Source organism: Homo sapiens, chromosome X (assembly GCF_000001405.40).
Source record: "Homo sapiens chromosome X, GRCh38.p14 Primary Assembly".
NCBI lineage: Eukaryota > Metazoa > Chordata > Mammalia > Primates > Hominidae > Homo > Homo sapiens.
In genome coordinates this window covers 136577940-136590503 of record NC_000023.11, presented here as the reverse complement: position 1 = coordinate 136590503, position 12564 = coordinate 136577940, and the positions used below count along the sequence as shown (strand labels likewise).

The 12564-nt window shown below is 41.4% G+C and overlaps 1 pseudogene, besides 3 other annotated features; it reads right to left on the bottom strand.

Moving 5' to 3' along the window:
• Positions 2310–2369: an enhancer, noted in NCBI's record as "active region_29991". NCBI's record gives its function as "activates an Ori minimal core promoter by ATAC-STARR-seq in GM12878 lymphoblastoid cells {active_cell/tissue: GM12878}" and the evidence as "EXISTENCE:reporter gene assay evidence [ECO:0000049][PMID:35858748]".
• Positions 3812–3881: an enhancer, noted in NCBI's record as "active region_29990". NCBI's record gives its function as "activates an Ori minimal core promoter by ATAC-STARR-seq in GM12878 lymphoblastoid cells {active_cell/tissue: GM12878}" and the evidence as "EXISTENCE:reporter gene assay evidence [ECO:0000049][PMID:35858748]".
• Positions 3972–4101: an enhancer, noted in NCBI's record as "active region_29989". NCBI's record gives its function as "activates an Ori minimal core promoter by ATAC-STARR-seq in GM12878 lymphoblastoid cells {active_cell/tissue: GM12878}" and the evidence as "EXISTENCE:reporter gene assay evidence [ECO:0000049][PMID:35858748]".
• Positions 7159–7264, bottom strand: RNU6-320P (RNA, U6 small nuclear 320, pseudogene; annotated as a pseudogene).

The window sequence follows — 12564 nt, the reverse complement described above, 5'->3', positions numbered from 1 at the left end:
TTTGGGGTCTACACTGTGGTTTTGACTGAGTTTCCCTCTGATATTTTGGTTCAGCCAAGGTAGAGTTCAAAGTGAAATTTAAAGGAGAAGGGCTCTTTTATGCAATTCCAACTGGAGAAGGTTTACAAAATGGAATCTGCTGAGTTTTGCGCAACTCTTTGGTCAGTTTGCTTTCTTAGGCCAGACAAGTATGTCTACAATGGTGGAGTCATAAACCCAAAGGAGAGAAATGGGTGTGAGAAAAGAAGACGCACCTTCCTGTATCCAGTAGCTACCCTGTGTGAGAAGCAAAAGATAGTTGTAAGAAAGCTATAAATATGATTCTGTCCAGCAGTTCAGTGTCTGCTGGATGTACCAAGTCATCACCTTCAGGCAGTTTCTATTAGTCAGAGGCATGTTTGCCTGACTGTAGGTGGGTGGAGGGTCAAGGCAAATGCCTCCTCTCCAGCTTCTCAGATGGGAAGTAACTGTGGAAACACAGTAGACCTGTGAAAAGCACAGGGAATGCGATATGTAAAGACTGAAACACAAGTCAACAGTGGTATTAATTCTGCAGCAGTATAAAAATAAAGAATTGTTTACAAAGATGAATTAAAACTTAATAATGTCATGTTTAAATAATCAGCATTCCCACAACATTTTAGTCATCATAACCCTGACTAAGTTGTACATTTAATGGTGAAAATTCCTTTCTGGGGTGCATTCTGGATGTAGCGCTGTAAATGCACACATTTTAAATCTTATGCTAAACAGCAATTTTGTCAGGAATAAACAAGAAATAAACTCCTGGGTGAGTGAAAGGTCTGGGAACATCTGTTCAGGGAAAATAATTGAGCATATTGGTGGAAGGAGCCTGCGAGTATAAAATAGATCGGGAGGCTTTTTTTTCTACATTGTTTCTGAGTTTTAATTTATCAAATTTCATGCTGATTTTGTAACGTATTGCCTGATAAGGGAATTAGAAAGAAAAGCAAGGGTACCAGATAATGCTTCCTTCATCCCAGCTAAAGGTATGCTCCTGAGTTTTCTCAAATATCACTTCTCCAGTGAAGCCTCCTCTGGCCTTTCATCCAGCCCTATTAGGTTGGAGCTCCATGGGCTCTCACGACCCCTCACTCCTTTCCCTCAGAGTGCACATCGTGCTTATAATTAAATAACAAATAGGCTGGGCGTAGTGGCTCATGCCTGTAATCCCAGAACTTTGGGAGACTGAGGTGGGCGGATCATTTCAAGTCAGGAGTTTGAGACGAGCCTGGCCAACATGGTGAAACCCCATCTTTACTAAAAAACAAAACAAAACAGAAACAAAAATTAGTGTGGTGTGGTGGCACATGCCTGTAATTCCAGCTACTCAGGAGGCTGAGGCAAGAGGATTGCTTGAACCCCAGTGGCGGAGGTTGCAATGACCCAAGATTGCGCTACTGCACTTCAGACTGGGTAATAGAGCAAGACCCTGTCTCAGAAACAACAACAACAACACCCAAACTGTGTAATTGTTAGTTTAGTGCTTTTTTTCCTCCTAGATGGTACGCTCTGTGAGGACAGGGACTGTGTCCATCTTAGTCACTGCTTACCAGGGACTCCTAGCTCAGAACCCGGCACATAGTGAGTGTCAGTTAATATTTCTGAATTAATTTCATTTTCCCACCCATCCTTTATCTGAACTAGCTGAATGGGTTTCTATTTCTTGCAAACAAGAAAGTTAAGAAGAATTTGCCGGATGCAGTGGCTCATGCCTGTTATCCCAGCGCTTTGGGAGCCTGAGGTGGGAGGATTTCTTGAGCCTAGGAGTTTGAGACCAGCTTGGGCAACATGGAGAGAACTCTGTCTCTACAAAAAAATGACAAAATTAGCCAGGCATGGTGGTGTGTGTCCGTGGTCTCAGCTACTCAGGAGGCTGAGGTGGGAGGATTGCTTAAGCCCTGGAGGTCAAGGCTGCAGTGTGCTGTGATTCACCACTGCACTCCAACCTGGGCGACAGAGCAAGACCCTGTCCAAATAAATAAATAAATAAATAATAAATAAATTTATTTTTGTAACAAAAAGAAGGATGTAAAGGATTAAAGAAAACTCAGAGTCTCTGGGAAATCTTAGCACAGGTTTCTTTTCAAGAGTTTATTTGCCAAGGCATTCATCCTGTTTGTAACACTAAGGGCCTACGTTTCAGACTCTGAGTGCTTGCACAACTAGATCTGCTCCCTCTTCTCAGCCTCAGGGTAAAATGTTACACTACTTCTTTCCTCACCTCCATTCTAGTTTCATTTTTAGGTTGCTAATCTGACCTTTAGTTTTGTTTTTTTTTTTGTTTTTTTTTTTAATGAGGCACTAAATGCAAAGAGAAAGTAGGTATTTTCCCCAGATGTTATTTTACCAAAGTGAGACAACATCATTTCTTAGATTTTCTGTAGTTAGGGACTTGAGAGCAGTTCAAAGTCCCCATTCCTCATACACATACCAGAATATAATCTATCCTTATCTCACAGCCAATTTTTCTTGGAAAAGTTAATTTGTGGTGTTGAAAAGGGAATATTGTTTATGCTTTGTCCATGAAACTGAAGGGCTTAGCAAACACCAGACTTCTGAATATAGGATTTAATAATTATCTCCCCAAATGAGGTCTTTATTCCCATTTAGTTCAGAATTTAACAAATGCACTCAATTCCCTTCTCCCCCAACACCTGTAGTATTCAGGCAGAACTTCAAAGCCCTCAGCCAGGGCTATTATAAGCAAAGCCCCGTGATAGGTGGGAGGCTGCACTAGAAACTAAGATCCCCACTCACAAGGCAATATTTCAAGGATTGCACAATCTCAAGAGTGAAGCATTTCTTGAGAATACATTTTTAAAACATTGATTACTCTTCTATGCTGATTGTATTGGCAATATATTTTAATATATAAGAAGACATTACTTTTCTACCTCCATTCCAGGAACGGTGGCTACTCCTAGTTCTCTTTTGATCTCCGTGGTAAGATGCCACATCACCTCCTCCAGGAAGCCTTACTCTACCCCCACCAGCCCTGTGCCCTCCTCTGTGCCCCTACAGCAGTCCCAGTAGACCCCACAGAGCACTTGACCCTTCACTCCCTTTCTCCTGTTTCCTTTTAACTGAGAGCCCCTGAGAGCAAAACCCACATCTTTTTCATTCGATCAATTCTGCCCTATCTTGCCTCTGGGCCTTCACTCCTAATTATCTTTCAGAGCTTTGCTTCAAGCACCTGCCTCCTGTGTGAAGCCTTTCACAACACTTTCCCATGTTCTCCTACCATGGGCTATAATCCCACAGCCATGGGGCCCACTGGATTTACTGTAATCTATTTGCTAGAATGTCTCCAGGTGTGCTAATAAATGTTTAATAACTGATTTTATGAAAGGAAAAAAGAAAACATTCCAAGTTTATAGTGATTGCCAATTTCCACTGTGTAAATATTCCCACCATGACCAATTTCAAGCTACCGACGTGAGGCTACACATTGATTTGGGTAGAAATGCCCAGTAGTACAGCATTATACAGCATTTCCATCAGACTGCTACAATAGCTATAGATCACCTCAAGAGCATATATAATAAGCAATGGCAGTAAAATAATTAGGAAGTGATACATTTTGAGTGTTTCTTACCTTTGTTTGAAATGTATTTTAATTGCAGGCTTATAGAATTTTATTTTTAATAAGTTTGTGTTTAACGACTGACTGGCAAAAATTTCTAAACATCTATCAACTCTCATGAATCAGTAGCAATGGGCTCCAGTGCATCACTGTTTGTATCTCTGACTAGACTGTGAACTTGAGAACTGGGACTGGGACTGTGCTGCTCATGGCACCTCCAACACCTAACACAGAGGAGGCACTGTGTAATGTTCATTGGCGGCAGCCAGGCATATCCATCCTTTTGTCCTCACTTTAAAAGGAGTTAAGAGAAAGTTCAGTGTGCTGTTTAACCACAAAGGCCACTTGGCAAATGCTCTAGAGGAAGCCATACCAACCTCAGCTAAGAACGAGGTCAGATCTCCGTCATACATAGTACTTTATTGCCAACTTCCTACATGTTAAGCTAGTGTGCCACTCCCTACTGAGAAACAAACAAGGCTCTGCTAAGTGTTTTATCCTTTCCTTGAGGGGTTAGCACCAGCTTACTTCCTAAAGAAGCAAGCCAAGATAGCACAGGTCTGATATTAATGCCAAATTCACACAAAATCCCATGTGGCAAAAGAGAATTCTTGCCTTTCTAAGCCTCAGACACTGACCCAATTATTTTAAGATCCATTGGCATTCACTGAATTCCAGCACAACAGGAGAATTTAACATTTCTCTGCGGTTTCTTAAAATGGTTTTGACTACCCTAGAGCACCAGGCCAGCCACCAGCAGGATAGAATGACAGGAATAGTCACAGTGTGTTAGAGGTCAAATCCCTAAGCCTACCTCTTAACTACTGGTGGAACTCTCTAGAAATGAACTTTTCATAATCATAGCAATGGTTAATATGCCACGAGTGCTATCTACCTCTGTGCCAAGCACCGTGTTAGACCATCCTCATAGACTAATTAATGAGGCCTCACATAAAGTCCTCAAGCAGTGGCACCCTCATTTAAATTGTCAGTTTGCTGGGGCTGTTGCCAATCCAGTAAGGCCGGACTGTAGCTGGGATAAAAAGGTTTCACTTCATTAAGCACCAAAATAATGCCATGGCTCTCTAAGAAATCATACTTGTGGGGAAAAGTCTCCTCTCAGTGACCATTTTTCCTTTTTGCCAATATGATGCCATACAAACTGGCAGATGTGGCTTCCTCAATGGGCATGACGAAGTCACCTTGAATTGCTCCATTGAGAAGCATGGCAAAAAGTGATTCCATGGGCTCAGCTTTGCCCTTGTCTGACATCCGTTCAGAGAGTTAAAATTCGTTGGCTTTTCAGGGCAGTGGGTGACATTACCCATGGTCCTCTACAGATCTTCAATAAGTTGACATTTCAAATCATTTGAATAAATCAAAGTGACAGAGGCACCTTAAGTTGCTGAGTTGGGGAGATGATTATAGAGAGCGAAAGACACATTTTCATTTTATTGCTGATGAGCAAAATAAGTAAAATTTGAAAAGGAAGTGGGATGCCTTGTGGGAGGAACCTTCTCAGGAAGAGGACTGCAAGTGGTACCTCTGTCTTGCCAGTGATAAACTGGTGCAGAAACGTTTCCAAACTATTCATCATGTGCACCCTAAAAACCCGATATGTAGAATCTGCACTATCCCTGAAAACAAGAGAGTCCCTGATTTGGTAAATCTTAACCCTGGAATACAAGCTTTCAGTATCACTTGGAGAAGTGAATCCAGTTTCCCTTAAGTGAAACTTGAGCCTTGGTCCCTCATAGCTATTGACCCTTATCTTCTGCAAAAGACCACTGGTGAAAACACAAGCTTAGTTGCTCTTCTATTTGTGTACAGAAATAGCCTAACTCTGCTTTCAAGCTGCTTTGTTCAAAATGTGCTAAGGATTTGTTGAGTGAATAAAAAAAGCAAGCAAGCAAGCAAACAAACAAAACTTTATTTTTTTTTCTTATTTCTCTAGAAAACTGGTAAACAAACAAACAAAACTTTAAATCAGACTGCAATTTAGGTCAAAAGTTAGAAAATATATTTGCAGTGCCTAATTCAGGAAGGAAGATCTTTTTCATGCTAATCTACTGCTAATTATAAAATAGGTGATAGCAAGCATTGTGAAGAGCTAAAAAGGAGGGGGTGGGGGCAGTGCTACTTCATAATTTAGTCACCCTTGATTGGAAAGTGGGCGTTTTAAGATTTGACACCAAACCCCAGCGAGTTACTCTGTAGCATGAGTTTCTCTCACTTCGGACTTTCAGTTTGGACACAGAAAGAACAGGGCAAAAAGTAAAGCCAGAAGGGATGATTTTTAAATGGCAAACTGCAAATAAGGATAGGTTTCAGGCTCCGTTGCAAATAGAGGTGGAATAATGAGAATAAGCTCTGTAAGGCCTGAAGGGAAGGAAACACATGGAGGTGGTCAGCTCCGTGCCCAACAAAATGCCCTTGAAGAAGCCTTTATGATCCTGGGTATAAGAAGAAGGTGGGGGGGAGCACTAAACCATTCTAAGACGAAGTTGTAACATTGACAATGTTGACTCCCTAGAACCAAGTCAGGGGAAGTATGTTTGGAGTCTAAGAAGCACAGTCATGTGTTGCATAATGATGAGGGTACATTCTGAAAAATGTGTCATTAGGTGATTTTGTTGTGTGAACAGCACAGAGTGCACTTACACAAACATAGGTGGTATAGCCTACTACACACCCAGGCTATATGGTGTGGCCTATTGCTCCTAGGCTACGAACCTGAACAGCATGTTGCTATGTTGAATACTGTAGGCAATGGGAACACAATGGTAAGTATTTATGTATCGAACATATCTAAATATAGAAAAGGCACAGTAAAAATACAGTATAAAAGATTTAAAAAATTATACACCTGTATAAGGCGCTTACCACGAATGGAGCTTGCAATAGTAGAAGTTGCTCTGGTTGAGTCAGTGAGTGGGTGGTGAGTAAATGTGAAGGTCTAGGACATCACTCCATGCTACTGTAGACTTTACAAACACTGTACACTTAGGCTACACTACATTTATAAAAAATATTTTTTCTTGGCTGGACATGGTGGCTCACTCCTGTAATCCCAACACTTTGGGAGGCTGAGGTGGATGGATCGCTTAAGTTCAGGAGTTTCAGACCAGCTTGGGCAACATGGCAATACATCATCTCTACAAAAAATTTAAAAATTAGCTGTGTGTGGAGGCACACACCTGTAGTCCCAGCAACTTGAGAGGCTGAGGTGGGAGGACCACTTGAGACCAGGAGTTCAAGGCTACAATGAGCCATGATTGCATCATTGCACTCCAGTTTGGGTGACAGAGCAAGACTCCATCTCAAAAAATACATAATTTTTTTCTTTCTTCAATAACTAATTAACCTTAGCTTACTATAATTTTTTCACTTTATAAACCTTAAATTTTTTTACCTGTTTTACTGTTTTGTAATAACACTTAAACACAAATTGTACAGCTGTACAAAAATATTTTCATCATGTATATCCTTATTCTCTAAGCTTATCTACTTTAAAACTTTTACTTTTTATTATTTTTACTTATTTTTAGTTTTTTTTAATGGAACGCATCACAATTTGTGTGTCATTCTTGCACAGGAGCCATGTTACTATTCTCTGTATCACTCCAGTTTTAGTACATGGGCTGCCAAAGCAAGCGCAGTTTTGAGACTTTTTTGTTAGACTCTAAGACCAAACACACACATTAGCCTAGGCCTACACAGGGTCAGGATCATCAGTATCATGGTCTTCCATCTCCACATCTTGTTCCCCTCTGGAAGGTCTTTAGGGACAGTAACATTCACGAAGCTGTCATCTCCTACGCTAACAATTTTTTCTTCTGGAATACTTCCTGAAGGACCTGCCTGAGCTTGTTTTACACTTAACTGTTTTTTTTAATAAGTAGAAGGAGTCCGCTTGAAAATAATGATAAAAGGTATGGTATAGTAAATATCTAAACCAGTAACATAGTTGTTTATTGTCATTATCAAGTATATGTTCTATACATAGTTGTATTGCTAGTCTTTTATATGACTGGCAGAGCAATAGCTTGTTAACACTAGTGTCACAAACATGAGTAATGCATTGCATTGCATTATGGTGTTAGGGCTGCAACGTTACTATGACTACAATGCCACTAGGCAATAGGAAATTTTTAATTCCATTGTAATCTTATAGGACCACCACTGTACATGTGGTCCTGTGATTGAGCAAAACATCGTTATGGGGCACATGACTGTAGCTTTTGGGCAAGTGGGTCTCAATCCTGCCTGCATATTAGAATCACCTGGAGAGCTTATAAAACTTTTGCTGTCTGGGCTGCCGTCTGAACTAATTAAATCAGAATATTTGGGTGTGAGACCCCAAATTGGTATTTTTATTTATTTACTTTCAAAATTAGGTAATTCGATTGATTGATTTACCTACTTATAGCTGTCAGTATTTTCGAAACATTCGAAACACACAGTATTTCAATGTGCAGTCAAGGTTGAGAACCATGAATTAAACAGCAACAAAGCAGAGTTGTAAAAAGGACTCTAATGTGTGTTTAGTTTTGTGTTTCCTCAAATGGTGCTTTCTCTTACAGCTGGCATGCAATATGGGCAATTAGTGTTAGTGTTCATCTTAGTCCATTTGGACTGCTATAACAGAATTCTATAGACTGGGTGGCTTATAAACAACAGAAATTTATTTCTTCCAGTTTTGAAGCCTAGGAAGCTCAAGATCAATATGCCAACAGATTCAGTGTCTAGTGAGGGCCCACTTTCCAGTTCATACATGGTGGTGTTCTCTGTGTTCTCACATGACAGAAGAGTCAAATGAGCTCTCTGGGGCCTCTTTTATAAGAGCACTAATTCCATTTATGAGGCCTTCACCTTCATGACCTATTCACCTCCCAAATGCCCCACATCCTAAATACCATCACATTGGAGATTACGTTTTAACATGTGAATTTGGAGGGACACAAACATTTAGTCTATAGCAGTGTTGGTAAGTCATTTTAGTATTGAGATATATGTAAGGAGAATACCTCATCAAGGGGCCAAGTCTGGGGCCGGACATTGGGCAGGCAGTTGGCTGGGAAGCTGATGCCTTTCTCAGAGATGGGTTCCTGAGAGCCTGTAGGCTTGACACTTGGTGTAGTTGGACAATCCATTGCTACCAGGTGATCAAAGTGGAGCTAAGGTATGAGAGTCAGGTAGGCAGGTAGGTAGGTAGAGAGTTGTCAGAGCAGGCAGAGTGTACCTGGGATTCAAGGTTAAGATAGGGTGGAGAGGTGTACAACATGAAAGCTCCAGAGATCAGATGAGCATTGGAATGGGCTCAGGGAAGGAAGGTGCTTCGATTTGCCTATACTTGAGTCCTTTATTCAAGCGCAGGCAGTGGTCCCTCTTCTCTTGGGCAGGAGTTTTCGAATTTTACAGGAAGGGTCTGCTAAGCTATCCACTTCATGTTAGGTCCGAATTTATTTCATCTTCAGTGTTTTCTAGTCAAGAGCCAACTTCTCTGGTTGAGGTCCAATTTCTGTGGCACCTGAGATTCCCCTGGCTAGAGAAGCTGTGTGCTGGTATGGTGGGGTTGGGTACACCGGGCCATTTCTTCATGGTTGAGGTCCTTGTCTACTCTGGCCCAGATGCCTTCAGGGTCTGATTGTTAAGATGGTACACAACAAAATGCTGTGTTGCAACTCTTTCAAGGACATTAATTAATTCATTCACTTACCCAAAAGCTCTTACTTAGAGGGCATGATAAATTTCAGGTGCTAAACTGTGGGTGGGGGATGGGGTGGTTCCCAGTCTTCTGGGGAAGACAAACAATTCCAATAGCGCTGAAGGAGTACACAGGACAAAAAGGACATGATAAAGGAAGAGTTTCTAGAGATGTTGAATCCTAAGGAATGAGTAGGAGGGAGCTCCCGAGGCAAAGAGAGCTGAGAAGGACATTCCAGGCAGAGAAGACAGGGAAGAAAGATATGTTTCTGCTGGAGGCCACATGCAGATCAGTACAGCTGGGGTATTACGTGTGATGCAGGGAGGGGTACAAGATGCAGATAAATAGGTGGGCAGGAGTCAGATGATGAAGGACCCGTGGGTCACGCTAGGGAGCTTGAACTTCATCTTATGGGCAGTAGGGAGTCACTAAAGCAATGTTTCTGTTTTTGGCTACATATTGAAATCTCTTCGGGAGCTTTAGCAATACTGATGTCTGGATGCCAAACCTGGATATTCTGATTTAATCAGCTTGGGGTGCAGCCCTGGCATCAGGATATCTGAAATCTGTCCAGGTGATTCTACTGTGCAGGCAGGGTTGAGAGTCACTGCATTAAAGGGTTTCAAACAGGGAATTGACATTCTTTGGGGCTTGTTTTTAGAAAGCTCATGCTGGTACAGGTGGATGAGTAGCCAGAGGCAAGAACCAGCTTGAAGGCTATTACAATAGTCCAGGTGAAAGATGATGTAGAACTGACCAAGAGCAGCAGTTGCAGTACTGAGAGAGGTTTAGGTTGTTAAATTGGCAAGACTTGGGTGATTGACTATCTGTGTGGACTGAGAGAGAGGGAGGAATCAAGAATGACTCCTACAGAAATTTGAACCATCATACATTGCTGGTAGGGTTGTAAAATGGTGTGCTCACTTTGAAAAATAGTTTGGCAGTTCCTCAAAAGCTTAAACGTACAGTTACCAAATGACCCAGCAATTCTAATCTTGGGTATATACTCAGCAACTCTAAAACTAAGTAAAACATATGTCCACACAAAAACTTGTATGTGGATGTTCATAGCAGCATTATTCATAGTAGCCCAAAAGTGGAAACAGCTCAAATGTCAGTTGCCTGATAAATAAAGAAAATGTGATAAATCTATGCAATGGAATATTTTTCAGCCACATAAAGGAATGAAGGACTGATACATGCTACAACATAGATGAACCATGAAAACATTATGCTAAGTGAAAGAAGCCATCACAAAATACCATAAATTGTACAATTGCATTTATGTGAAATATACAGAATAGGCAAATCCAAGGAGACAGAACACAGATTCATTGTTTCCAGAGACTGGGAGAGGGGACGATGGGGAGTGACTGTTAATGGACAAGCAGAACTTTTTCGGGTGTGATGAAATGTCCTAAAACAAGATTGTGGGACTGGTTGAGAAACTTTGTAAATTTACTAAAAAGCACTGAATTGTACAGTTTAAAAAGGCAAATATTATGGTATGTGATATCTCAATAAAAAAGAATGACTTCCAAGTGCCTACGTTGACTGGCTAGGTTAATGCTGATGTCAGAAAATAATGTAGAGAACACAAGTGAAGAAACACATTTGGCAGGGACTGTTGCCTGTGGGGCCTCTAGGTGCTGATATCTAGCAGACAGGTAGATTATGAGGTTGGAGCTTGGGCAGATGTCTTGGCAGGAGACAGAGATTTTGGAGTTATCAACTTGGAAATAGATGGTCATTTATGTTGTGGGAAATGATGCAATTACATAGAAAAAGAGTGTAGTGTGTGAGGACTGGAGGCCAAGCAAAGATCCCTGGGGAACACTAGCATTTAAGGGGTGGTAGAAGAGCTCATGGAGGAGCCAAAAGAGGAGCTGTCAGAGCGAATTGAGGAAAAGCAGCCAAGTGGGAGAAGGGGATTGCCATGGCATCCCAGAGTATTGACATAGAAGGAAGATCCAATTTAAATATCACTATATAATTAAGTCTCTGCTCATATTTCTAGTACTAACCCATACTGGCCCTGTTTTAAAGATATGGATAAGATGACTCATTCAATTATAAATCCTCTACAATAGACGCTTTTACAAATCCTGGTCCTTCTGACAGTTTTATTCTGCCCCCAACCCTACAAAGGCAGAGGTCACCTATCCAGGGCAGAATTAGTTCTTCCACTTTCTGTAGCCCCATTACTTGTGCGGGTACTCTTGGAGACAAGGAGAAGAGGGGCTGTCCCTGGAGGACTGGAAAAATGAGCTATCAGAGTGGACTCTGTATAGAGAGCTGGAAGGGTTTTTCCTGTTAATCAAGCAAGAATAACTAATCAGATGTTACTTTAGCAGCACTTAGCACCTTCCTTGATCTACATCTCTTCTTCCTACTTGCCCCAAGTTGTTCTGCCTCACGTGTTGACAGTAATATTAACAGCTGACCGCTGGGTGCAGTGGCTAATGCCTGTAATCCCAGCATTTTGGGAGGCTGAGGTGGGAGGGTAGTTTGAGCCCAGTAGTTCAAGGCCAGCCTGGGCAGCATAGTGAGACCCCCATCTTTATAATAATAATAATAAAAGAGCTGACATTTATTGTTTATTATATGACTGACATAAGCATTTACTTATTTGGTCCTCAAAATAATCTCGTAAGTTAAGTACTGTTATTCTTCTCATTTAAAAGATGGAGAAAATGAGGCACAGAGAAGCTAAGTAATTTGCCTGATGCAAGAGAGTGGTACAGTCAGAGTGGACCCAGGCAGCCTGACTCTAGGAGCACTTAGTCTTAACCATTACCCTACCAACCTCTCAGTAAGCAGCACCAAGCAGTGTGGTGCAGCAGTAAAGAGAGTGAATTTGAAGTCCATCGAGTCCAAGCCTCTATAACCTAGCACCTAGCTGTGTTACATTTGGCAACTCATGCAACCTCTCTGAGTCTCAGCTTCCTAATCTATATAATAGGGCTATTACTATCTGCCCTGTAAACCTCACGGATTTGTTGTGATGATGAAATGAGATGAGACATGTACTGAGTGGACAGCTACACCTATAAAGTTCTGTGCTTATTTTCCCAGAACCTCACTAGACAGTTGACACAGAGTAGGAACTCAGTACTGCTGATTGAGGGAAAGCAAGGATTTTTCTCACACTCTCTTTCGGCATTTGCTGCACTTTATTATAATTCTCTGTTTGAGAATCTATCTTCCCCACTAGACTGAGCTTGCCAAGGATGAGGACCAAAACTTGTCA